The sequence below is a fragment of the Homo sapiens genome, chromosome 10 (assembly GCF_000001405.40).
Source record: "Homo sapiens chromosome 10, GRCh38.p14 Primary Assembly".
NCBI lineage: Eukaryota > Metazoa > Chordata > Mammalia > Primates > Hominidae > Homo > Homo sapiens.
This window is the reverse complement of record NC_000010.11, coordinates 78032434-78058476: the sequence shown is the minus strand read 5'-3', so window position 1 is coordinate 78058476 and position 26043 is coordinate 78032434. Positions and strand designations below refer to the sequence as shown.

At 47.0% G+C, this 26043-nt stretch overlaps 1 protein-coding gene across 6 annotated transcripts, besides 7 other annotated features; it reads right to left on the bottom strand.

Annotated features, from left to right (window-relative positions):
• RPS24 (ribosomal protein S24) lies at positions 1671–24614 on the bottom strand. Of its 6 annotated transcripts, NM_001142283.2 has the most exons (8): positions 24573–24614; positions 23060–23125; positions 22757–22966; positions 21173–21283; positions 21036–21038; positions 20495–20512; positions 18252–18273; positions 17780–17862 (listed from the first exon to the last, which is right to left on the bottom strand). In NM_001142283.2, exons 1-6 carry the CDS (start codon positions 24573–24575, stop codon positions 20507–20509), a joined length of 399 nt encoding a protein of 132 aa, NP_001135755.1. In that variant the 5' UTR covers positions 24576–24614; the 3' UTR covers positions 17780–17862; positions 18252–18273; positions 20495–20506. The 6 variants fall into 6 exon arrangements, with proteins under 6 accessions (NP_001135757.1, NP_001135755.1, NP_001135754.1 ...); NM_001142282.2 differs by lacking the exon at positions 20495–20512; NM_001142284.2 differs by lacking the exon at positions 21036–21038.
• Positions 10848–10907: an enhancer, noted in NCBI's record as "active region_3616". NCBI's record gives its function as "activates an Ori minimal core promoter by ATAC-STARR-seq in GM12878 lymphoblastoid cells {active_cell/tissue: GM12878}" and the evidence as "EXISTENCE:reporter gene assay evidence [ECO:0000049][PMID:35858748]".
• Positions 15737–15846: an enhancer, noted in NCBI's record as "active region_3615". NCBI's record gives its function as "activates an Ori minimal core promoter by ATAC-STARR-seq in GM12878 lymphoblastoid cells {active_cell/tissue: GM12878}" and the evidence as "EXISTENCE:reporter gene assay evidence [ECO:0000049][PMID:35858748]".
• Positions 17127–17176: an enhancer, noted in NCBI's record as "active region_3614". NCBI's record gives its function as "activates an Ori minimal core promoter by ATAC-STARR-seq in GM12878 lymphoblastoid cells {active_cell/tissue: GM12878}" and the evidence as "EXISTENCE:reporter gene assay evidence [ECO:0000049][PMID:35858748]".
• Positions 17245–17746: an enhancer, noted in NCBI's record as "H3K27ac hESC enhancer chr10:79800489-79800990 (GRCh37/hg19 assembly coordinates)". NCBI's record gives its function as "activates a minimal SCP1, AML or CMV promoter by ChIP-STARR-seq in naive H9 embryonic stem cells {active_cell/tissue: H9 hESC(naive)}" and the evidence as "EXISTENCE:reporter gene assay evidence [ECO:0000049][PMID:30033119]".
• Positions 18067–18576: an enhancer, noted in NCBI's record as "OCT4-NANOG hESC enhancer chr10:79799659-79800168 (GRCh37/hg19 assembly coordinates)". NCBI's record gives its function as "activates a minimal SCP1, AML or CMV promoter by ChIP-STARR-seq in primed H9 embryonic stem cells {active_cell/tissue: H9 hESC(primed)}" and the evidence as "EXISTENCE:reporter gene assay evidence [ECO:0000049][PMID:30033119]".
• Positions 18577–19088: an enhancer, noted in NCBI's record as "OCT4-NANOG hESC enhancer chr10:79799147-79799658 (GRCh37/hg19 assembly coordinates)". NCBI's record gives its function as "activates a minimal SCP1, AML or CMV promoter by ChIP-STARR-seq in primed H9 embryonic stem cells {active_cell/tissue: H9 hESC(primed)}" and the evidence as "EXISTENCE:reporter gene assay evidence [ECO:0000049][PMID:30033119]".
• Positions 24285–24814: an enhancer, noted in NCBI's record as "active region_3613". NCBI's record gives its function as "activates an Ori minimal core promoter by ATAC-STARR-seq in GM12878 lymphoblastoid cells {active_cell/tissue: GM12878}" and the evidence as "EXISTENCE:reporter gene assay evidence [ECO:0000049][PMID:35858748]".

Genomic DNA, 26043 nt, shown 5'->3' with positions numbered 1-26043 from the left:
AGCGGGACTTAGGCAGGGCTCTGGAGCACATTTCAAGCAAAAGTCACATCTGGCCAGGCATAGTGGTTCACACCTGTAATCCCAGCACTTTGAGAGGCCAAGGAGGGAGGATCACTTGAGCTCAGGAGTTCGAGACCAGCCTGAGCAACAAAGGGAGATCACCTCTCTACAAAAATAAAAAACAATTAGCTGGCTGGATGTGGTGGCTCACGGCTGTAATCCCAGCACTTTGGGAGGCCGAGGTGGGAAGATTGCTTCAGTCCAGGAGTTCGAGACCAGCCTGGACAACACAGGGAGACCCTGTCACTACAAAAAATAGGAAAAACAAATTAGCCAAGTGTGGTAGTGTGTGCCTGTGGTCCCAGCAACTCAGGAGGCAAGGCAGGAGTACCTCTTGAACCCAGGAGGTTGAAGCTGCAGTGAGCCATCATCACACCACTACACTCCAGCCTGGGTGACAGAGCAAGACCTTGACTCAAAAAGAAATATATATATATATATATAAAATATATATAGTACATATATATTGTATATATTTATATATAAGTATATAAAATATATGTACATATGTATTTTATATATTTACACATATATATTTTATATATATACGCACACACATATATATATGTATTTTAGCCAGGCATGGTGGCACACGCCTGTGGTCCCAGCTACCTAGGAGCCTGAGGTAGGAGGATCACTTGGGCCCAGGAGGTCAAGGCTGCAGTGAGCTTTGATCAAGCCACTGCACTCCCACCTGGGCAACAGAGTGAGTCCTTGCCTCCAAAAAAAAAGAAAGAAAAAGAAAAAAATAGTCACATCTGTCTCTGGCTGTCCCCATCCACACCCACACTTCCCCATGATTCCCTATCACCCAAATATCAGTTAAGATTTCTTCCTTGACAATGCTAGGATCACACAAGGGGCCACCCAGCAACTTGTCACTTCGCTTCCTGCAGATGGGCCTTGCCTCTGGGCTCTGTCACCCTGACACTCAAAGTGCTCCTACTGCTACACCTACTCTTGATCTTAGAAAGGTAAGAATTTTCCAGAATTCCTGGGGTTCATGAGTAACATGGAGAAAACCAACATGAAACCAGATCTTTAGAGCAAAGGCCAGGCAAGTAAATGATCTCTATCTGATCAGTGATCAGCCCAGAAAAACTGTTTTGGTTTTGTTTCTGTTCTTCCTCAACTTGGCTATGTGTTTGTCTATAATTATGTGTGATATTTGTGTTTCTTTTCTTTTTGTTTTTTAATAGAGACAGGCCTCACTATGTTGCCCAGGCTGGTCTCGAACTCCTGAGCTCAAGTGATCTGCCCACCTCAGTATTTGTGTTTTTTTCATTGCTCTCGGAGGGGAAGGATAATATAGGTCTTATTCCCTATAAGAATATATTATAGAACCCACCACATAGAAAATCTTTAATACAATTTTTGATGAAAATGGAAATTTTTTTTTCTTTTCTTTTTGAGACAGTCTTGCTCTGTTGCCAGAGTGAGTGCAGTGGCACTATCTCAGCTCACTGCAACCTCTGCCTCCTGGGCTCAAGCGGTCCTCCTGCCTCAGCCTCCCAAGCAGCTGGGACTACAGGTGTGTGTCACCACACCCAGCCGAAAAAAAAATGTTTTTTCAATAACGAATGACAGATAAACCAACTCAAACTACCTTAAACAGTATATAACATTTATTAGCCCCCATAACTAGAGTCCAGGGGTATAGATACTTCAGGGAGGCTTGAGCAAGACTCTGGCTGTTTCCCTGCTGTTCTCTCAGCTCTGCCCTGCTCCAAATTGTCAACTGTGTCGTCAGGGTGGCTTCACTTGTGGTAGCAAAATGTCTGCAGCAGTTCCAAGCCTCAGATCTGCACATTATGACCTCTGGAGCAAGTGCGATCTCTCCAACCACCAAATGGGAGCCTTCTCACAACTCTGCTTGCACCCAGCCTCAATCAACCACTTTGGCCAGGGGTAATTCCATGCACTGATTGGTTCAGGTCTGGGTCACTGCCTATTCCTGAGCTATTGCTATGGAAGGAGTAGATGCCATACTTTCTTGGCTTAGGCCAACCAAGACCCACCCCAAGAAAAGCAAATTTGGGGAGCAGAAGGGGAATAGAATGAATTCTTGAAGAGGCAACCAGAAGATCCTCCAAGGTCTGTGTTTCCTCAAACTGCTAAGCAGGCATTTCAGCTTCCAAACCGACTGGCAGTGCCCTAGGACAGGAGCCATCTTCTGACCCTTATTCACCAACACCAAGGTGACCACTGAGAAAAGCACTTTGTATGTGTCCTCAGTCACCACGACAGACCCTCAACCAGCCACCAGGTTCACTAACAGACACAGTCACTGCCACACTGGTCTTCTCCACCAGAGGCATCTCCCCCTCCCCTACAAAGAGAGAAGAAGCTTTAATAACAAGATGTCCAGCCAGGCACGGTGGCTCATGCCTGTAATCCCAGCACGTTGGGAGGCTGAGCTGGGTGGATCATGAGGTCAGGAGTTTGAGGTCACCCTGACCAACACGGTGAAACCCCGTCTCTACTAAAAATACAAAAATTAGCCAGGCGTGGTTGTGTGCACCTGTAATCGCAGACACTCAGGAGGCTGAGGCAGGAGAATCGCTTGAACCTGGGAAGCAGAGGTTGCAGTGAGCCAAGATGGTACCACTGCACTCCAGCCTGGGCAACAGAGCAAGACTCCGTCTCAAAAAAAAAAGAAGATATCCATCTGGGAGACAAGGGGGCTAGGTTCTGCCCCTAACTTGGTGGGGAATTCCTTTTGTGTACCTCAGTTTCCCCACATGCACTAAGAGGGGATTAGGCAAAGTAAATCTAAAAGCCTTCTCGAGTGACCGGTTCATGTGCCACAGCAGAGGAAGAGCTTCTAAACTTGGCATTCCGCAGCCCCAAGAACCACCATCACCTCCTGCCTGAGTTTCCACCGCAGCCTCTGCCTCACGACCCAATCCACTCCCCACACAGCCGTCATTCCGTCAGTCAGTCATTCAACAAGTATTTATTTAGTCTACTGCGTACTGTGTCCAAGGCATTGTTCTGGGCGCCAGGGGTATAGCAATGAGCTAATTAGGAACACAGACCAAAAAAAAAAATCTCTAACTTCACGCAGCTTCATTTCTAGTGGGAAAATACCAATAAACAAGAAAATAATAAAATCAACTGCTGACGAGGAAAAATTAAAACTAGGAAGGAAAGCCTTAAATGTGGTAGGAGCCGCTGGAGCTGGAAGGTGGTGGGAGGCCAGTGGCCAGGTCGTGGGGGATTGTGGGGGCGTGGGGAGGTCTTTGGCATTTGGGTGAGAGAGATGTGGAGCCCTGGAGGGTTCTGAACAGAGGTGCCAGCTCATGTGACTCCGATTTCCACAGTGCCCTGCTGGCTGCTGAGTGGAGAAGAAGGTGGAGAGATGAAGCATCCTCAGAAATGCAGCAAGGCGGCCATGGCAGTGACATTAGTGGCCCAGACCAGAGAGGCAGGAAGGTGGGGAGAAGCAGCTGGATTCCTGGTGGATTTCAAAGAAAGGGCCAAAAGACTTGTTGATGGCCTGGATGTGGGGTGACAGAGTCAAGGTTGCTGACAAGGCTTCTGGCAAGTGGAGGACCAAGTCACCGTCCACAGGGTGGGGAGAACCAGCAGGAGCAGGTGAGGCAGGCGACATGAAGGCTCCGTTTCTGACCAGTGCCCTCTCCAAAAGGCACGCCTGGCAGCACTGTTCTCTGTTTTCAGTCTTCCTCCAGGTAACGGCCACCTGTAAATACTTGCCACAGCCCCTCCGCAATCTGCCACATGTCCACACGCTCCACGGTCCTGGCACTTCTACCTGCCACACAACCCCCCGGCTTTCTCTTGCCTTCGAGTTCTTCACATCTGTGCATCTCTCTTCCTGGGAAATTCTTCCCAATGCTTGCACTCCAAGCCCCAATTCCCTCATCTGCAAAAGCGGGAAGGAGAGAATAGTCTCAGAGGATTGTCCAGGTGCCTTCCAGCCGCCCTGTTCTGCGCCTGTGGCCTGGGATTCTGCACCTCCCTCACTTGGTACCAGGGAAGATCAGCAGCAGTCAGAGCCAAAGCTTGAAGGAAGGGCACTTGGGAGGGCTGTAAAAGCCAGGTACCTGCAGGAGTTCAAGCCTCAGAACAGAGGCAGGAATGAAAACAGCATAGTCTGGAGTAGACAAGAACCCCCACACCAATCTGCCTCTGCCCCACAGAGCCCTCCACCTGGGCCACCCTTCCCTTCCCTTCCCACTCCTTCTTCATGGCCAGTGCCAGCGGCTCCTTCCCTGCACTAGTCCCCAGCCCTCCTCTGCCTGCCCAGACTCTCTGGCCATTCGCCCAACAGCACTCCAGGCCAAGCCTTAGGATCTTGAGGAGCACCCTAGGCACCCCCATACCCTGGGAAAGCTCACCAAGGTATGGCCTTCACCCACACCACGTGACTAGGAGGTAGGAAACTGGACTCCAGGGTGCTCCAGGACTCTTTCCAAACTCAGCTCAAATCCCCCTTCCCCAGGAAGCCATACTGCTTCCTCCAGACCATCCAGCTCTGCAAATTGGTTCGTGGTAGACATGTTGGTCTCCTCCCAAGCTTAGGGCTCAGGCTTCATCTTGCCCACCTTGATGTCTACCCACTTCCAGCCCTCAAAGAGTCCACCTGGAGACTTATGCACCAATATACTGTGCCCAACACAGGAGCTTCCTGCTGGGAGACACCCCTTCATCCGGTGAGCAACCTGCTTTTTATGAGAGGGGAAAGCCAGAGGGGCTGTGGTGCAGACGTTCCCCCATCCCCGGCCCGCTCCTGCTCTGCCATTTCCTCTCCCCTTCAGGAGCTGAAGAAGCCAAAGAGGTTCCTTCTCCCCTCTCAGGCTCCCTCACCTTCCCTCACCTTCCACCCAAAGATATTAGGAGAATTAATGGGATAACAGATGTAATGCCTCCAAGGAAACGGGCCACATAAATCCAAAGTGTTGTTATTAAATTCCAAATTTAGCCCTCAGGATGGGTGAGACATGATGAATCTGGGCTGGGAGAGATCCCAGCTGCGTGGACAGGAAGTCCCTGTGAAATCAGAAGCTATGACATACAGGCTCTGGGCATTCAAGGAAACCCTAAAACCCCCCCAGGACTCTGAACCCAAAGAGCTTCTACAACCACCTCACCTAGAAAGCAGCCAGGCTCTGCTTGTGTACCACCAGCAACAGGAAGCTTGCTGCTTCCCAGGGGGCAGGCCCCTTCCATTAGCTCCGAGGTTTTTTTCTTTTCTTTTTTTTTTTTTGTTGTTGTTGTTGTTGTTTTTGTTTGTTTTTTTGAGACGGAATTTCACTCTTGTTGCCCAGCCTGAAGCGCAATGGCACAATCTCAGCTCACTGTAACCTCCACCTCCCAGGTTCAAGCGATTCTCCTGCCTCAGGCTCCCAAGCAGCTGGGATTACAAGGCGCCCTCCACCACATCTGGCTAATCTTCTGTATTTTAGTAGAGGTGGGATTTCACCATATTGGTAAGGACAGTCTCGAACTCCTGACCTCAGGTGATCCACCCACTTCGGCCTCCCAAAGTGCTGGGATTATAGGCATGAGCCACTGCGCCCGGCTTGCTCCAAGTTTTAAAAACTGCCTGCTATCCAGCCCAAACCATTTCCCCATATGCTTCACACTCCACACTCCAGGACAAATGTTACCCTTCTTTCACATGATAGCCCTTGACCAAGGGTACGTCTCTCTCTCCTCATTTCCAGCTAAACAGGGCTTACACCCCATCATCTCAAGGCAGCCCCCATCAGGATGCTCTTGTCTGAGTAGACTCCTCCTCGTGGCTTCCAAATCCAACATAACCCCTAGAAGGGGTCCAAAGGGAGATAGGGCAGAGCAGAACCTGCCGTGCCTTCGCTCCAGGTGCCTACCTCCCATGGCGGCAGCTAGAGGCAACATTTGCTTTTTTTTAGCATCCTCATCACACTATGAAATGGGGACAATAATCCCCACCTTGTAAAACTATTTCCAGGACAAAAGGTAATATATACAATGTGCCCAACACAGTGAATAGTAGGCACTCAATAAAAGGAAGGTATTATTGTTACATTCAAAGTCTCTCGGGAACCCTGACAGCAGTTTCCAAGGACAGAAAAACCAAGAACTAAGCCGGGGGTGGTGGCGGTCACCTGTAATCCCAGCACTTTGGGAGGCCTAGGCAGGTGGATCACTTGAGGCCAGGAGTCCGAGACCAGCCTGGCCAACATGGTGAAACCCCGTCTCTACTAAAAATACAAAAATTAGCCAGGCATGGTGGTGCATGCCTATAATCCCAGCTACTCAGGAGGCTGAGACACGAGAATTGCTTGAACCTGGGAGGCAGAGGTTGCAGTGAGCCGAGATCAAGCCACTGTACTCCAGCCTGGGCGACAGGGCAAGGCCCTGTCTCAAAATAAATAAATAAATAAATAAATTTTAAAAATGGACAATCCACAGAATAGGAGAAAATATTTGCAAACCATATATCTGATAAGAGATTTGCATCCAGGATATATAAACTAACACAACACAATAAAAAGACAAATCACCCCATTTGAAAATAAGCAAAGGATTCAAACAGGCATTTTTCTAAAGAAGACATATAAACAGCCAATAAGCAGATGAAATGATGCTCAACACCATTAGTTATTATGAAATGCAAATCAAAACCATAATGAGATACCACTTCATACCTACTTGCATGGCTAAAATCAAGTACAGATAATAACAAGTGTCAGGAAGGATGTGGAGAAATTAGAACCTTCGTACATTGCTGGTGGGAACATAAAATGGTGCTGCCTCTGTGGAAAACAGTTAACCAGAGAGTCACCATAAGGCCCAGCAATTCCACCCCGAGGTATATACCCAAGAGAAGTGAAAACATCCACACAAAAACTTGCACATGAATTTTCATAGCTGCAAAATTATTCAGAATAGCCAAAAAGCAGAAACAACACAAATATCCATCAACTGATGTTGACGTGGTAAATCCACACAAGGGAATGTTACTTGGTAATTAAAAGGAATAAATTACTGATACATGCTACGGTGTGGACATAGCACGGAAACATTAGGCTGAGTGAAAGAATCCGGTCATAAAAACCTATATACACTATATGATTTCATTTATATGAAGTTTCCAGAATAGACAAATTTATAAAAACAGAAAACAGATTTGTGGTTGCCAGGGGCTGGGGCAGAGGTTGAGGGAAATAGGGAGAGACTGCTAATGTCTACAGGGTTTCTTTTTGTTGTTGTTTGAGACAGAGTCTCACCCACTCTGTTGCCCAGGCTGGAGTGCAGTGGCGCAATCTCAGCTCGCTGCAACCTCTGCCTTCCAGGTTCAAGGGATTCTCCTGCCTTAGCCTCCCAAGTAGCTGGGATTACAGGTGCTCACCACCATGCCCGTCTAATTTTTTATTTTTAGTAGAGACAGGGTTTTGCCAGGTTGGCCATGCTGGTCTCGAACGCCTGACCTCAGGTGATCTGCTCGCCTCAGCCTCCCAAAGTGCAGGGATTATAAGCATGAGACACCTGCCGGGCTAAGGGTTTCTTTTTGGCATAATAAAAATGATCAAAAATGAATAGGTGTGGTGGGAGGATAGCTTGAGGCCAGGAGGCGCAACATAATGTAGAGACTCTGTCTCTACAAAAACTAAAAAAAAAGAAAAAAAAAGTAGCTGGGCCTGGTGCTGTGCACCTGTAGTCCTAGTTATGTGGGAGGCTGAAGTGGAAGAATTACTTTAGCCTAGGAGTTCGAGGATGCAACGAGCTATGATCACATCACTGCACTCCAGGCTGGGTGACAGAGTGAGACCAAATAAAAATCAAAATGTTTAAAAATTAGGTGGTGGTGGTGGTTGCACCACTCTGCAAATACATTGAAACCCATTGAATTGCACACTTTACAAGGGTGAATATATGGTCTGTGAATTAAACCTCAATAAAGCTCTTATTCTCTTTTTAAAGCGGCCACTTGCTGAGGTCTGGGAGTGACAAGAAGGAAAGAAAGACAGATGTCTCAGCGGTGGGAGTGGTGGCTGCATTGGATACATCAGCAGCCCTCCTGCCCTCAAACCTTCCCAGCAGGTGCTCCTCAGCCCCAGGTAAGTGGGAGTGGGCTCCATGAGCTGACAGACCAGTCAGCATCTTGTCCCTGGGAAGTGGCAAGGAGGATGCAGGTCTAACTAATCTGGCCGGAAGTTTGGAATGGGGAGCAATAAAATCCTGGTTGTGGCAGCCATGGGGCAGAAAGGGGAACAAAGAAAAGCCAGCCTGTAGAGAGAGAGAGAGAGGCATAGACTCAAAGAGGGGGAAGGAGGAAGGAGGGGAGAAGGAAGAGCTGATTTGTTCTGAAATGATTTTCCAGACCCAAATCCAGGGAGGCTGCCAGCACCGCCTACCTTTTGGCTTTGTTAGATCACCCACAGCTTCCCAGTAAACTTCCCCCTTTTGCTGGGAGGTTTCTGCTGAAAGGATCCCTATGAAGCAACCATTTTCTTCCTGCTGTGGCAAAGACTGGTCATTGTCCCCCAAAACTGTGCTCCCACATCTGCCTGAGCTGGAACAAGCCTATATTTCCCAGCCCACCTCACAGTTATTAGGTGTTGCAGGAGACTAAGTCCCAGCCGATGGAAGAGGAGCAGAAAAAACACAGGTGACTTCTGGTCTGGCCTTTGTGGAGAGTGGGTGGCCTCCCACAGGCCCCAGTACTAGGGCAAGGTGCTCTTAGGGTCAAGGAGATGCTGACCTTGCACTAGCACCACTGTGGGTGAAGACCTCCTTGGATTTCACATGCTAAGCGCTTCATTGCCTCACCCAGTCCCAGCCCCACTGTGATGGGCAACTATCCCTCAGAATGGCACCAGCATTGGCAGCAAAGTGGAGAGAGAAAACGTCTAGGCCCTCGAAGACGCTGTTAAACTGCAGTGTCCACCAACCCTGAAGGCTCCTGGGCATCCAGGGGGTTCTTACAGGAGCTAATAAGCAACCTCACTGTTCAAGGCAGTGTAAGCTGACTTCTCAGAGACTTGCAGCAGAAGGCCTCCTCCCTAACATACCCTCTAAACCCATGACAAAGCCAGCTCAGGAGCACCAGTGGGCGATGTTTCAACTCTAGCTTCCCAGGGAACATTTCTGTACCAGTGACACGCTCTGTGAGACGACACAGGGCAATGAACTGAACAGCAGGGAAAAGGTACCCCAGACAGCATGCAGTGTTTTGTTACCTTAAAAAAGCAAGAAACAGCACTTGAGTAGCAAACGGCTCACTTGCTGTCAGAGGTGGCGTGAACTCCAGGGGAAGACGCCTGAAGCTTACTCCTTTCCCCAGCATGAATGAGCTGAAGGACTTGGGGCAAGTCATCTACCCTCTGTGCCTCATCCATAAACAGAAGAAAAAGCAGCCCGTCTTGCATGCTGCGTGAAGGTGCCAAAGGAACTGAAGAGCTCTCCTTCCCCGCTCCAAGGAGGCCTGATGGAAAGAGACATCATGTTTAACTTGTTTCCTCCACCAAGGACAGCTGCAGTTAACAATGTTTGCCTATGGGTTGGGCAATTTTTTTTTTTTTTTTTTTTTTGAGATGGACTCTCGCTCTGTCGCCCAGGCTGGAGTGCAGTGGTGCAATCGCGGCTCACTGCAACCTCCCTCTCCCAGGTTCAAGCGATTCTTCTGCCTCAGCCTCCTGAGCAGCTGGGACCACAGGTGCATGCCCCCATGCCCGGCTAATTTTTGTGTTTTTAGTAGAGACGGGGTTTCACCATATTGACCAAGCTGGTCTCGAACTCCTGACCTTGTGATCTGCCCATCTTGGCCTCCCAACGTGATTACAGGCGTGAGCCACCGCACGCGGCTGGGTTGGGCAATTTCTAACCAGACTCTCTGAATATCATCATCGACGGTGGGAGCCAGCAGAGGGCTGGACCACTCTTTTGAATCCCCTTATAACCCAGGGATGAGCACATCTATAGCGCTCTGAAAAGGCAGTTCTGGAGATTTCCTGCCCAGGCAGAGCAGTGGCTCAGCTGGGTGAGCAGTCACCGAGAGTATAGGATGCCAATCCCTGGATTAACGAGGTGAATGCCAAAGACCCTCCGAGGCAATGTATTTTTGGAAGAAATACACACTGCAGCAGAAAAGAGAACATGGTATAAATTTTCCTTCTTCCAAACAGTGCAGAATAGAAACCTATAAAAGCAAATTCTGGATGTCTGAAGATATGGACTTTTTAAAAAATCTTGTTTGAGAGATTCCACCTTACTGACTTGCACCATATCCCTGGAAATGCTTCCTTAAGTGGCTACTGGAGATGGATGTCATGTAGCAGGGTTTACAGATCCCCTGCAATCCGAGGTCCTTGAAAAGCACAAGGCAGTCTCTTCCTCAACTCCCAGGGCAGAATTTTATAGTGGAAAGAGATGTTGACAGCCACTTTCTCAGCACCACTCTCTCATCCTACAGTGTAGGAAACTGAGACCCAGAGGAGAAAGGGGTCTTGCCAGAGATCTTAAAGTGTGGTGGGGCAGAGCTAAGGCTTGAAAACAGGTCTTGGACCCAGCACTGTGGCCCCGGACCCATGCTTGTCAAAGAATAGGACAGAGGCATAGCACTGTAGGCAGAAGGCTGAAGCAGAATCGGGCTGCTGGGGTTCCCAGCCTTCGGCCCCCACCTCCCCCAATAGAAACCGCAAGCTGCCTGGCTGGGCAGCTACAAAAGGGGGAATGCTGTTTGCACAGGATCTGCAGAGACCTCGCAGCACGGATGGGTAGACATCACCATGCACATATGAACAGCAGAAAGCCCTCCAGGTTCAGCTTCCCTACGAGGGCCGAATCCTATAAACAAGATTACCACCCCCATTAGACCTTCTCTGAGAAGAAAGAGTGACCTCTCCAGTTGATCTGGCATCAAGCTTTTTTCATGCTTCCACAAGGGTAGCGGTCTTGACAACAAAGCAGACCGCTTCCACGTCTGTGCCCACAGTGCCCCCTTGTGGGAGTCTGCATAGTGCATCACACGTCTTTATTTCACCAAGTGAAAAGGCAGGGATGGGGCAGTCTACAGCACTGTCCTACCGGGTCTCCACAGCTGTCCCCCTCTGGAATATCCTCCCCTTCCCTAAGCTCAGTGGTTCTCAAACTTTAGCATGCATCTGAATCACCTGGAGAGCTTATCAAAACACAGGTTCTGGCTGGACGCGGTGGCTCACACCTATAATCCCAGCACTTTTGGAGGCCGAGGCCAGCGGATCACCTGACGTCAGGAGTTCAAGACCAGCCAGACCAACATGGTGAAATCCCATCTCTACTAAAAAGTACAAAAAAAAAAAAAATTAGCCAGGCGTGGTGGCAGGCACCAGTAGTCCCAGCTACTCAGGAAGCTGAGGTGGAGAATCGCACCCAGGAGGCGGAGGTTGCAGTGAAGCAAGATCACGCCACTGCACTCCAGCCTGGGCAACTCAAAAAAAAAAACAGGTTACCTGGCCCCACCCACAGCTTCTGATTCAGTAATTCTAGGGTGGAGCCCAAGAAATTGAATTTCTAGCAAGTTCCCTGGTGACACTGCTGCTGCTGTCCAGGACCACACCTGGAGAATCGCTGCCTCAGCTAATCACCTCCACCCATTTAAGGCTCAGGACCATTTCTAGCTCCTTGGCAAGATGTTCCACAAATGCCCCCAGGCTTATCATAGGATGCCATAGTTGTGTAACTTTAACCAAGTTCCTTAACCTCTTTGAGCCTCAATTTCCTCATCTATAAAATGGGGGTAATAGTACTTCCCTCCGAGTGCAGGTAAATGAGGCCAGGTGCAGTGGATCATGCCTGTAATCCCAGCACTTTGGGAGGCTGAGGCAGGTGGGTCACCTGAGGTCTGGAGTTCAAGACCAGCCTGGCCAACATGGAGAAACCCTGTCTCTACTATACAAAAATTAGCCAGGTGTGGTGGTACACACCTGTAATCCCAGCTACTATGGAGGCTGAGGCAGGAGAATCACTTGAACCCAGAAGGTGGAGGTTGCAGTGAGCTGAGATTGCGCCACTGGTGCAATCCAGAGCTCCAGCCTGGGTGACAGAGCGAGACTCATTCTCAAAAAAAAAAAAAAAAAAAGGTAAATGAGATAATTTGTGCAAGACTTAGCTCAGTACCTGGCACATGGTAAACAATAAATGTTAGCTATTCTGTGGTCATTAATTAGCAATAGTATTACTGTTCATCTGCCAGCTTCTTGAGGGCAGAGACAGTATTCCCATTAGAGACAGAATTCTCAGAGGCAGAACGGATCTTAGAGAAACTTCAGTCCAGCTTCCCAAGCCTGAGCTCACCTGGGAAGCTTCAGTCCAGTTTCCTGAAGCAGCCTCACCTGGGAAGCTATTAAAACATCAGGTGCTTGGGCGCTACCCAGATCTACTAACTCTGAAAACTGGGGCAAGAGGCTGGGCATTTGTTGTTTTTGAGACAGAGCCTCGCTCTGTCACCCAGGCTGGAGTGCAGTGGCATGGTCTCGGCTCACTGCAACCTCCGCCTCCTGGGTTCAAGCAATTCTCGTGCCTCCACCTCCTGAGTAATTGAGATTACAGGCACGCACCACCACGCCCAGCTAATTTTTGTATTTTTAGTAGAGATGTTTCACCATGTTGGCCAGGCTGGTCTCGAACTCCTGACGTCAAGTGATCCACCCGCCTCAGCCTCCCAAAGTGCCGGGATTACAGGTATAAGCCACCACACCCAGCCAGCATTTGTATTTTTAACAAGCCCCCAGCCTGGCCAACATGGTGAAACCCCATCTCTACTAAAAATACAAAAAATTACCCAAGCATGGTGGCAGGCGCCTGTAGTTCCAGCTACTCAGAAGACTGAGGCAGGAGAATCGCTTGAACTCAGGAGGCAGAGGTTGCAGTGAGCCAAAACAGTGCCACTGCACCCCAGCCTGGGTGACAAAGCAACACTCCATCTCACAAAAAGAAAAAAAGAAAGCCCCCACCTGCCAGGTTTCGGAATTACTCATCTAGCCCGGATAGCAGACAGACACAGGGAGGGAAATAGAAGCCCAGAAAAGGGAAGTCTTTTGCCCATCCATGGCCCCAGCTGATTGTAAGCTGAGTGGAGATCAGGAACTGTGACTCCTGATTCCTGATCTGGTCCCTTTTTCCGAGTTATTAATACTTGGGGCCAGGCGCGGTGCCTCACGACGGTAATCCCAGCACTTTGGGAGGCGGGGTGGGCAGATCACCTGAGGTCAGGAGTTCAAGACCAGCCTGACCAACATGGAAAAACTCCGTCTCTACTACAAAATACAAAATTAGCCAGGTATGGTGGCACATGCCTGTAATCCCAGCTACTCGGGAAGCTGAGGCAGAGAATTGCTTGAACCCAGGAGGCGGAGGTTGCAGTGAGCTGAGGTCGTGCCATTGCACTCCAGCCGGGGCAACAAGAGTGAAACTCCATCTCAAAAAAATACGATAAATACTTGGATGCCATCTCATCGACCCATAACCTTCTACATAAATTCCCTCTCCAATATGCATGATGAGCAGCCAGAGCGTTGCCAAAGTATTTCCTGTGTGGAGGAACTCGGCATGTGAAAAGAACACACAATCCACTGCAGAACATCTAATTCTCCAACGTTTTATTTTCTTTAACCAAAACACTGAACAAGTGAAATCCTTAGCTTGGCATACAAGATCCTCCCTGATTTATTCTCCGCTGACCTCTCCAGCTTCGTTTCTTACCAGGACCTCACCTGTACCCTCTCATCCAGACTGTGGGCACTGGGAGGCAGGTCTCATTTCTGCCTCCCCTCAACATCTGGCATGCGGGAAGTTCAAGGGTGAGTGGATGGGGAAGGACAGTTGGATTAATGTATGGAGGTGTGTTCACAAAGCTCTAAAACCCAGGAGAGCCTCTCTGCCAGCACAAATGAGTCAGGTGTCATACTTCTGTGCTCTAGCAGCCAACCTGAAGACTATTTTTGAAATGGAGTATCTCCCACCAGAAATGCATTGTGCAAAACTCTGCTCAAAGGCATCAGTCATGTAGGGCCTTCCATCTTGTTGATTCAAGAGAATGCCTACCTACCCACTCTGCTCCCACCTCCCCAGTGTCATCCTCTCTTCCCCTTGCAGAATGACTGGTCTCACCTTGTCCCACACTGCCTGCTCCCATCTCCCTGCTTTCTTTCCTATTTTTCATGGCCTCAAATGAGAACTTTCTCCTGTGCATCCAAATCAGATCATGTCTCTTGCCACTGCTGGTGTTACAGTAATCCTCCCTTATCCATGGGGCAAACGTTCTTAGACCCCCAGTGGATGCCTGAAACCGCAAACCCTATCTACACCAAGTTTGTTGCTATATATACATAATTAAAGTTCATAATTTAGGGAGTAAGATATTAATAATTATACTGTAGTAGGCTGCATGAACTCTTTTCCTCTGAATACGTACATGTATTCACATTCTTGATGGGAGATAAAATGCCTATGTGGAAGGGAGAGGGAGGTAAATGACGTAGGCATGGTGACGTGTTAGGCTACTATTGACCTTCTGATGACACTTCAAGAGGATCATCACTTTTGGGTGATCCCAGACCATTTAGCCATGATAATTTTCCAGACTGCAGTTGACCGACAGCAACTGAAACTAGATAGGTGGGGACTGCTGTATGTCTCCTGGAAGCCTTCCAAGACCCAGCCTCCCTGCACTGATCTTCTTGGCTCTCAATTTCTATCACGTCACAGTCATACACTATCTGCTACTTCACAGAAAGGAACAGAAGCCAGATCATGGGATCGTCATTAACTACCTCAGAGCTTTCAAGACAGAACAGCTTCTTTATCCCCAACTTGCAGAACAGGGACACAGCAGGTGGTCAGTAAATTGGGAATTTGGCTAGCCATCTAACACTTGTTCAATAAACCCATGGCAACTGGCACCCTGCTGGCAGTCATGAGTTTTATATACCATTATATGCACAGTGCAAAGTAGCTTAATACTGGAGTGCCTGAAAAAATGCAGTGTTTTGGAGTCAGATGACTGCATTCCAATCCCATCCCCACCACTTCATGGGTGAGACACTGGTAAGATGCTTAACTGCTCTACACCCTTTCCAGCGTGGGTCCAGGAAGACATGCTTCTTGGAGTTAACATGCAGATTAGGCCGGGCACGGTGGCTCACACCTGTAATCCCAGCACTTTGGGAGGCCAAGGCAGGCGGATCACAAGGTCAGGAGATCGAGACCATCCTGGCTAACATGGTGAAACCCCATCTCTACTAAAAATACAAAAAATTACCCGGGCATGGTGGCGGGCACCTGTAGTCCCAGCTACTTGGGAGGCTGAGGCAGGAGAATGGCGTGAACCCGTGAGGCAGAGCTTGCAGTGAGCCAAGATTCTGCCACTGCACTCCAGCCTGGGTGACAGTGAGACTCCATCTCAAAAAAAATATGTGTGTATGTGTGTGCGCGCGCAGATTAATGGAGATCGTTGTTCAGAGTTTAGGACAGCACCTGTTTCGGCTCCATGAGAGCACCATGTAAGATGCTGTCTTTAAGGGCAGCCTAAAATAAGCAACTTGCCAGGGAAGAAAGGAAGAGTGCAGAGTTGAAAGCTGCCTGATTACATAGGCACATCCAGCTACAAACAGAACTCATGGTTGTGGTGCTAGGAAAAGCTAAAAAGCAGCACCCCAAATATTCACTGCAGGTACCTTCCCAGAACCACCTCTAGCTGAGTTTCTCATCACTCTTCAAAGATCCCTGCTCTCTCTAAGCCACAGCTTCCCATCAGTGACAAGCTGAAGGAAGGGATGTGCTCCCTCAATATTGATTCAGCTTAGTAAAGTCAAGTTTGCATTTTATGGAGGCTCTTCCAAAGCCTGCTGACAGCACAGGGTAGCCTGGTTACTGTGAGGGCCTACAATGTGCTGAATCTGTCCACAGTTTGAGTTCCCACAAGTCCCTGCTTCCTGACAAACAATTGCTTAGCACTAGTTTCCAAACTGTTTTCACAGTTGTTACATCCTCAGCCTCAAAATAGCCTTGTGAGCCAGGGTAGCTAGCAGATACCCTTGGGAGCCCAATTTAAAAGACAAATTAACCCTAACAAGGTACCAGGTGACTTCCCCAAAAAACACTTGGATGGACTAGATGGAAGAGAAGCAGGCAGCAGGGACAGAAGACCAGAGGGCAGGTAGAGGAGGGTGTTAGCTGGCCGTAGGAGCAAAGGCTGTGGAGACCAGAGAATACCTGTCCCAACAGATGCAGCCAGCCTGGAGCCCTGCCAATTGTTATCAAACAGGAAGGTGGGCTACTACTGCTGCTTCTGGTATTTCAAGAGGCTGGAAATCCAGACCTTTACGTAAAATTTGCCAAGTTTCCAAATGTTATGCCTAACAAGGCTCACAGCAAGACTGCCACATTTTCTATAATATCACAACCCAAGTGGATCCTCTGGAAAAATAGGCCAAGCCTGAGTTTCATCCCACCTCCCTTCCCAAGGCTACTGGCTGAAAGACTACAACTTCTGCCCTGAGCACAGCTGAACAGAAAAGCCTCCCCACTTCGTGACTTTGATGCCAACCTTCAATCATTCAGGCTCTCTGCAGCTATGCCCTTTTTCTTCACATCAGAAACTATTTCCTACCCTTCAGTTCTCAATTGCTTCCTTCCACTCTCCCTGCATCAACTTAGCAACCACCCCCAGCTCCACGTCCTGTCCCATCCCATCCCATCCCATCCCTGCAGCACTGTCAGGATCCTCACCACCTTGCCTCTGCAAGCTGCTCACAGGGTGCCTTCTCTGCTTCCACACTCCAGCTCAGTCACAGGAAACTGCATCTCAAACCCCAACCTTTGCTGCCCCTAGCATTACCTTCAGCCTGGTATGCACTGTTCATCAAAAAATGTCAAATCACATCAAAGACCCCATTCTTCCACACGTTCTGTACTAGTAAGCCATTTCCTGGTCCTAGCAAAGTAGTAGCAGATTCCTTAGCAAGAGAACCTACAGGGCCAGAGGCCCCACAAACCGAAGTACACAGCCTCTGTAGATATGAAAACAGAACTCCAACCACCCCCTGGCCAGCAGGCCCAGCCCCATGACTTAACTCTTCTCAGCCCTGCCCTCCTGTCTGTAGGTGCTCCATGCAGGGGCTGTGACCATCTTTTCTCCAAAACATTCCACTACCCTTCCTTCCTGCAACCTCAACCCTTCTGCCTTCACGGTATTGCTTTTCCTGAGTCCCCTTCATGCCCAACCAAGTCTTTCAGCTCTCTACTGCTTCCTGAGATTTCTCCAGTTTATCCAGACATGGTACTTTTTAGACTCTAAGCCAGACGTGGTCGCTCATGCCAGTACTTTATGTGGCCAAGGTAGGAGGATCGCTTGAGCCCGAGTTCAATCAAGACCAGCCTAGGTAACAAAGCTAGACCCTGTCTCGAAAAAAAAAACACCTCACTGTAGCCTCGAGCTCCTGGGCTTAAGTGTAATCATCCCACCCAAACCTCCCAAAAGTGCTGATGACTGTGAGCCACTACACTGCGTCCACCGCGGACATGGTTCTTAACACAGCATTTACAAGCTTGACTCCCAGATGAACCCACCTAAGCTATAAACCAAGCAGCAAACAAACACCACCCCATGACATTAAGTTTTCACTGAATGCTTCATGGAGCATGTGAACTTGGACAGCAACTGAAATCAGCAGACTAACCTCCTAGCAGTCCCAGGAAACTGCAAATACATTTCAAACAACCAGACACATGAAGTTTTTAGTTTATTAATGTTCTTGCGAAAAATCCACAGTGGCCACAGCTAACATCATTGCAGCACCTTTACTCCTTCGGCTGTGAATCAAGAGAAAGAAGTTTAGTCAACAACTGCCTTTAAAATTCTTTAAAGTCTTCAATTCCAAAAGTAGTAACACTCATGCACAACAATTATTAGTAACCTAGAATATCAAGTTATTTTGATGTTATCATAACACAATGAAAGCATCAAGAAATAAAATTTACAAACATTCAAGTTAAGAATAAAACAAAAATAATGGGCTAAATATTGCTAAACCTTAAAAACAAAACCATGTCACTGTTAGTATTTTAAAAGGTTACAACTCTTCAGAATATTTGTAAATCTACTTCTAGATGTACTACACATGATCTGCTTTTAAATTGCTACGTCAGTACACCAAGGAGTCTAGTGATCTACATGACTACATGAAAAGCTTGAATTATACCTGTGATCCAATCTCCAGCTCACTGAATCAGTGGCGGGGAAGGGAAAAAGAGAAAGGAGGGAAAAGAAAGATTTCATTAATAGTCCCTTTTCAAACTCCAAAATAATCTGCATTTAAGTGCATGCAATCAGGTACCTTAAAGATGACCATTTTGTTCTTTGCAATTGTATACAGAGCACTCCTTCCAGACTCACTGATTTTATTCCTCCCAATTCTGACAATGCCTTGCCTGATTACTGTAGTTCTTATGCAAACGAGGTAGCCGGACTTCACAATGAAGAGATCATTAAGCCAATGTGGTACCCAGGATGGCCTTGCCCACTTGTCAATGAAGTACATACCTGAGCCTCTGCCCCTCTGCTCTGCCCAGCAACATTGTGCTGGACACACACCAGGAACAGTTACGAGAATCATTACAGATTCAAGTCTAATTTAACCTCAATGGGAGTGCTCTAAATGATCAGGCAAGTCTTTTAAAAGCTGCCTCAGTTCAATAAAAGATACCATTCACAGCCACAAAAGTAGTACAAGTTAGTATTTAAAAAGAGGCATTAATTTAGCTGAACTAAAAATACAATTGCTCCTCAGATATGAGACTACTAATGCCTTAGTATAAGTAACTTAGTATATAACTCCATCGCAACCAAAAAGCAAGAACAAATACCAATTCTAACATCTAAACAAAACTGAATTAAAAGCAATATTGCTATGGCATTTCTTTGGAGCCAAAGAATTTATGTACTCAAATGCATTGATTTTTCCAGCTGGCTTTTCAGAGCAGTGCTAGTGAGAGGCACCAGTGTAACTTGAAGCAGGAATAGTGATGGCTCAGGTCCCCACAGGTAGCTCCTCCATACCTGTGGGACTCAAAGGCTAAGGGCACTAACTCATAGGGCTCAAAGGCTGGATGAAGAGAACAATCAATGTGTTAAATGTCCTTCAGACCTAGGTCAGAGGACAAATTTTGACTAATTCTTTTGACTAATTCTTTTTGCAACTTCTCTCAACAGGTACAATCCTCACAAACAGGGAGTAGTTCTTAGTGAGTAGTTCTGCTGGCAGTTCATTCATTACATACTCCATGGCGCTGGGACATCAATGTGATTACAGTCCTGGGCAGGCAATCCCAGGTTTACTGCCTTGCCTGGCAGGGAATCACTGCAAAAGGATGCCACAAGAACAAGGGCCTTCATTGATTCAAAATCCCACTACGCCCACCCCACTCCTACCCCACTTATCACATTACAATTTTAGGCTGTTCAGATGTGCAAAATTTGTTTTAAATGAGGTAACAGGCTGGGCACAGTGGCTCACACCTGTAATCCCAGCACTTTGGAAGGCTTAGACAAGCAGACTGCTCAAGTCCGGGAGTTCAAGAGCAGCCTGAGCAACACGGCTAAATCCTGTCTCTACAAAAAATTGGCAGGGCACGGTGGCACATGCCTGTAGTCGCAGCTACAAGGGAGGCTGAGGTGGGAGAATCACCCAAGCCCGGGAGGTACAGTAACCCATGATCATGCCACTGTACTCCAGCCTGGGTGACAAGAGACCCTGTCTCAAAAAATAAACAAATGAGGTAATGGGCCATTCTAACCAAGTGCTTGTGGGAAAAAGCATATCCACCAAAGACTTTTATATGAATACATAATTACCTCAAAAATTTTCTATTTTAAAAAAAAAAAAAAAGACACCAGGCACAAAGTTGGGAGATTAAGTAATAAAAAGCAATGGAAATGGTAAAAGGCAGTTTTGCGTATATCCAAACAGGACAGAGGCTTTGCCAGATTTCACAGACTAGTTTATTACCAGTGCTGCCAGGCTGGTTTCATGGCTCCAGAGAAGACTGCTCCTTGGATAAGAGAGCCCTTCCCAAGCCCAGTGTTAACTGAAGCCATTTCCTAAGTATGTGGACACAGCATTTCCCAAGTGCCTACTTGGTAAAGTACTCACCTTCCTCCAGTGAGTCACTTCACATGTAACATGCATTTTGGAGTTTACAAAATAAACATGATTTTAAACGTTTTCTCCTTTGCTCATAATATACTATCTTAAAACATATTAGGTTGGTGCAAAAGTAATTGTGGTTTTTGCCACTGCAATTACTTTTGCACCAGCCTAAATAGCACTGGCATTATAATCGACCATACTATAAAACTGTCGTCCAAAGGCCAACATGCAAAGCATCATCAAAGCAAACTCAGTGAAGGTGATGCATCCCCACACCGTGCTTACAATCTCAGTACCTGCTAGACACTTCATTTCTGATGAACAAGAAATCCAAGAAAGTAGAGAGGAAAAGCAAAAAAAAAAAAAAAAAAAAAAAGTTCACAGAACACTTGATTATTTGTTAATTTAACAACCCAACACCTTAATTCTATTCAATGATTTACAATGTCCAACTATTTACAGCTAGCAAAGCTGGTAAAAAGCTGCTTATCGCTAAAATCACTTGTCTTGGCCAACTGGAGAGGAAAGCAATCCTGAGATCTCAGTTGCCTTTCCAGTGTGCCAGGAAAACACGGGCCACATTGATCCAACTGCTTCTTAAACCAGTGTCCATATTAATAAGTAAAATCACAGGGAATGGGATCCGCTCTGCATTGAAGGTTCTATGCCAATTAGTAAAATTAAAACTTCTTGTGATAGGCTTGAAAGGTGCCCACCAGCTGGGATCAATGAACCAATGTGGCCTCCAGATTGTGCTGTGAGCTGACAAGGGGTGGGCCAAGCTACTTTACTGAGGTGTTAAGACACTATGCTACATAGTTTCTTAAAACATGTTACCTTCTGTAATCCAGAAGAAGAGGGAAAAGAAGAAACATTAAGAAAAGTTATTTTAAAAATTAATAAGATCCCTTCTTTCCTAGAAACTAAAGACCTACAATTAATGACGTTTCTATATTTTCCTTAATGAACTATACCTTTTTGCCAGCACCAACATTGGCCTTTGCAGTCCCCCTGACTTTCTTCATTCTGTTCTTGCGTTCCTTTCGTTGCTTTCTTGAGGTCTTTTTCTTCTCATACAGGCCATGCTGAATGAGAAAAGAGTACATCCAGGTGACTTGTAAACATTAAAATCATTACCCACCACTCTGGTAGGGAAACTGACCCAGTCTGAGCTTAAGAAACACAGCTTTCTAAACCAAAACTTTTCAAGTACATTTAATGCATGTTTTTGCTGGAACAGAAAGGATCATCAAGGGATTTTAGGTATGGAATAGCCTCACAGGAAACAAATGGTCCACTCAACATTCTCTCAACAGGGAGTTTGGGAGACTGGCTGTTCTTGTCCAGACTTGAGCTCACAGATCACTATTTTTTCTTCTTTTGCACTACCAAAACAAGGCACCTCCGAAGTGGCTGAGGGGATCTCTTCCCATTTCAACTCCCCATTACTCCCTTATGACAGACAAGCATTTACAACCCCCACATCATGGAGATTCCGGATCTACTCATCTCCACTCTGCCCACCTTTGCACTTGCTGTTCCTGGGGCCTACAAGACTGTTTCTGTATCTTTACAAAGACTACTTCCAAATCTTTACAAGGATCTCAGCTTCAATGTCACCACCTCAGCAAGGCCTTTAACATGACCGAACGTCAGTTAAAAATAGTGCAGCCTCAGCTGGGCACGGTGGCTCACACCTGTAATCCCAACATTTTGGGAGGCCGAGGTGGGCGGATTACGAGGTCAGGAGTTCAAGACCAGGCTGACCAACATGGTGAAACCCAGTCTCTACTAAAAATACAAAAATTACCCAGGCATGATGGTGCGCACCTGTAATCCCAGCTACTCAGGAAGCTCAGGCAGAAGAGTTGCGTGAACCTGGCAGGCGGAGGTTGCAGTGAGCCAAGGAGATTGTACCACTGCACTCCAGCCTGGGCGACAGAGCTAAACTCTCTCTCTAAAAAAAAAAGTGCAGCCTCTACCTATGACATCACCAGGATTTTCCCTCACAGCTATCGTATGGGAAGGTTTATCTAACAGGATAGGATAAAGTGAGTTAAAGGAACAAACAAAACAAGCACTTCGAGGTGATGATGCTTACTTGTTTACTAGAATGTAAGCTGGGGAGCTTGCCCAGATCACTGCTGTAGTTCACTCTGCAGTGTTTGACACTCAGTATACAATCAAAAACTTTTCCTGGTTCCTGACTACCTATGGGTTTAAGCCCAGATGCAGACTTAATCCAAACTAAGTGAATTTGGTGCCAGGCTACCTTTCCAAACACATCCCCTTACTTCTCCTCTGGAAAACAATCCTTACCCCTAGCCCATCTCCAAGAACACTACTTCAGCTGCCCTTCTGAACTCAGCTCAAATGTCAGACTTCAATTTTGAACCCCCGTACTCCACCTGTGCATTTTATGAAATAACTTTTTCTCTTAATCCTTTCAGAGTTGTATCCCAGATTGCTTGGTCTTGCCCTTTTTACCACACTCACAACACAACGCTATTGAAAAAATAGGTCTTCAGGAGCTGATCAACAAATGAAAAGACACCTACTCTTGCAAGTCTATGTTTGGGTTCATTTTTCTTTGCATAATCCAGGGAATCATAAATCATGCCAAAGCCAGTTGTCTTGCCACCACCAAAATGAGTTCTGAATCCAAATACAAAGATGACATCCGGTGTGGTCTTGTACATTTTGGCTAGTTTTTCCCGAATTTCTGTCTTAGGCACTGTCGCCTTCCCGGGGTGAAGGACATCAATGACCTAAAAGGAGATATCAAGTTTAGCATTCAGTATGATAAAATACATCTTTAGAGTAAAGGACAATTAAGCAAAGATTGATGTGCCCTTCCTTACCATTTGTTTCCTCTGAAGTAGTCGGTTGGTCATGAACTTTCTAGTGCGGATAGTTACGGTGTCGTTCTGAAAACATAAACACTCTGGTTAATAAAACTACTCCAACTTTTCTTGGCCTTGCTGTGATTTTCCAAGACCTAGAATGTTGCAGTCCAATTTGTAGCCATTAGTCATGTAGCGAACTAAAGTAAATAAAACCCACTGGGCAAGGCCAAACTCACAGGATACACCTAAGGAATACATAAAATACCAGGAAAACACAATGGTTTTACACATGAATCTGTACAACTTACTTCACTAGGTTATGTGTATCTCTGGGGCAGGGTTTCTCAACCTCAGCACTACTGATATTTCCATATGGATAATTCCATATGGATATGTTGTGGGGACTGTATGTTTTAGAATAACTATAAAAATCCCAGCCCTCTAACCACTAGATGCCGGAAGCACTTCCCACCTTTCCCAGTTGTGACAATCAAAAATGTCTCCAGACTTAGCCAACTGTTCCCTTAGGAGAAAAATCACTCCGGGTTGAGAATCACTTCTCTGGGGTAAAAACTGCTGTGGCTCATATAAAGGTCACTCAATGAACTGTGTTTATCATGTCTTGCACAAATGTGCCCCAAACCTTGTACTCACTACCTACATGTAATCTATCCTTCTAGAATGGCCATAGCAGAGATCAGAGAAAACGATATTCCCTTCTGAAGGACTGAACTGCACCTTTACTTAATACCTAACAAAAAATGTGGGCATTAAGCAATTTATGCTAACAATTTTACCAAAAAGGAGGCGCAAGAGACTTTCATGGCAGCAAATAACTTCCTAGACTTTCTCCATTTTACTTTGAGAAACCACACCAAATTAAATCCACGTCAGTGGTACTCAATTCTTGAAAGTAACGGATCAAAGGTAAGGAGAAAAAAAAAAGATTGCTGGTAAAGTTAAAAACGGATGCTGGAGGAGCTAATAACGCATGACTTAGGGCAGGACTACCTTTTTATAACATCTCTTTCCAGGGCCTGTTTCCCCACTATGAAACATGAAGATCCATCCAGCTGACAAGTTTTCTAGCTTACACGTGGGAATGGTTTCACTTGCCGCAACTCGCCCAGGCGCTGCCCGCACCTTCTTCACCTCTTGTACTGCCATCACCTGCAAGCCGCCTACCTAGCCCAATGAGGAACTGCAGACGAGATGTGCCTCCCAGTGTCCATCTATCCCGCCCGCCCCCTACCCCCATCCACCGTGCTCCACGAAGTCAACAAGCGCAACAGCTCCTGCACTGCCCAGGCGCTGGAGCCCGAAGCCCAGCGTGTCCGGGTCTACAGCGCAGCCCGCCAGCCCGGACGCCCTGCCAACAGCCCCGAGCCCCTCGACAACCATCCTCTGACAGAAACGGCCAGAGAAGAGCAACCGGGCTTCGCGTGCCTATAGCTCAAGTACTGGGACCCAGGGACCACGGATGGCTCGGATACGCGGCAGATGACTGCACGGGCCCAGGGAGACTCACCATGATGGCGATCTATCTTCAGACAGCCAAGGAGGAAAAGAGAACCACGATTCGCCGGCCAATCATATCAACGCGCACGGAAGGACCCCGGGAAGAGCCGGCGTGGGGGCGTGGGCGCGCCACGAGGCTGACCGCGCCGATGCCTGATTTAGGCTGCCTACGGCCCCGCCTCACAGACTTTTGGCCACACCCCTGGAACTCTAGACTGACCAATCCAGAACCAGAACAACTCGAGCCGACTAGGTTTACGCAAGCAGGTGTTCAATTTCAGTTCAATTCATTATGTTGAATTGTACGTATTTGAATTCCGGTAAACCAAATTAGTTTAAATTGCCTTCTTCCGAGTTAGAGGTGGGTAAACTTGGAAAGCATTTTAGGATATCCTCTCTAACAGTCTCCTCGTTATATGGCTAGGGAAACTGCAGAAACCCTGACTCTAAAACCTTTGTTATTTCAAGTACTTAACATTGCCCATTCTAATTTATTATTCATGAGTATTATTTCTGTGACTTTTATGACGAATCTTTACTTTAAAAGATCTCTTTAATTTGTATTTTTCTGCAAATCTTGGTCATTATGCAAAATTAGATTTTGAAAAATATTTGGCCGGGCGCGATGGCCACGCCTGTAATCCCAGCACTTTGGGAGGGCAAGGCGGGCGGATCACCTGAGGTCAGGAGTTCGATACCAGCCTGGCCAACATGGCGAAACCACGTATCTACGAAAATAAATAAATAAATAAATACAAAATACAAAATTAGCGGGGCGTGGTGGCTCATGCCTGTAATCCCAGCTACTCGGGAGGCTGAGGCAGGAGAATCGCCAGAACCCGGGAAGCAAAGGTTGCAGTGGGCCGAGATCACACCATTGCACTCCAGCCTGGGCAACAGGAGCGAAAATCCGTCTCAGAAAAAAAAAAAAAAGAAAAGAAAAAAAAGGAAAAAAAAATTGGAAGCCAGGGGCAGTGGCTCACGCCTATAATCCCAACACTTTGGGAGGCCGAAGCAGGTAGATGACCTGAGGTCAGAAGTTCGATACCAGCCTGGGCAAAATGGCGAAACCCCGTCTCTACTACAAAAAAAAAAAAATTGGCCGGGCGTGGTGGTGCATGCCTCTAATCCCAGCTATCTGGGAGGCTGAGACAGGAGAATCGCTTGAACCCGGGAGGCGGAGGTTGCAGTGGGCCGAGATCGCACCATTGCACTCCGCCTGGGCAATAAGAGCGAAACTCCGTCTCAGAAAAAAAAAAAAAAAAAGGAAAAAAAAATTGATTGCTCCAGAAATATTTTCTTTAACGTGAAACAGACATGTAAAGAATGTAAATATATATGTTCCGGAGAAATAATAAGAAGAATTTCCCAAATGTTAGTGCAGACGAGGTGTCCAAGGTGCAGGCTTTGCGGGCAGCTTTCCTATTTTCTTTTTTTTTTTTTCCTGAGACAGAGTCTAGCTCTTGTCACCCAGGTTGGAG